Raw genomic sequence first — 333 nt, 5'->3', positions numbered from 1 at the left:
AGGCCCTGAGGCAGGAGTATGCTTCATACCTTCCAGGAGCAGCAAGAAGAGCAGTATGACAGGAGGTCAGAATATGGCAGGCAGATCATGAGGGCTCTGTGGACCCATTGGGAGGTCTTTGGTTTTACTCTGAGTGAGAATTGAAACCATTAGAACTTCACCCTTCGGCACAGCAGCCACAGGCCTCATGTGGCTATTTTAAACTTAAGCTAATGAATATTCAGTAAAATCACAAATGTGCCAGCCACATCTCAGTGCTCAAGAGCCACATGTGGTCTGAGAATTTTGAACAGAAGAGTGGCATGATTTGATTAAGGTTGTAAAAGGAGCCCT

The 333-nt window shown here is 45.9% G+C and overlaps 1 annotated feature.

Moving 5' to 3' along the window:
* Positions 1-60: an enhancer, noted in NCBI's record as "active region_17643". NCBI's record gives its function as "activates an Ori minimal core promoter by ATAC-STARR-seq in GM12878 lymphoblastoid cells {active_cell/tissue: GM12878}" and the evidence as "EXISTENCE:reporter gene assay evidence [ECO:0000049][PMID:35858748]".

The sequence above is a fragment of the Homo sapiens genome, chromosome 20, assembly GCF_000001405.40.
Source record: "Homo sapiens chromosome 20, GRCh38.p14 Primary Assembly".
NCBI lineage: Eukaryota > Metazoa > Chordata > Mammalia > Primates > Hominidae > Homo > Homo sapiens.
This window is presented reverse-complemented; position numbering and strand designations above follow the sequence as displayed.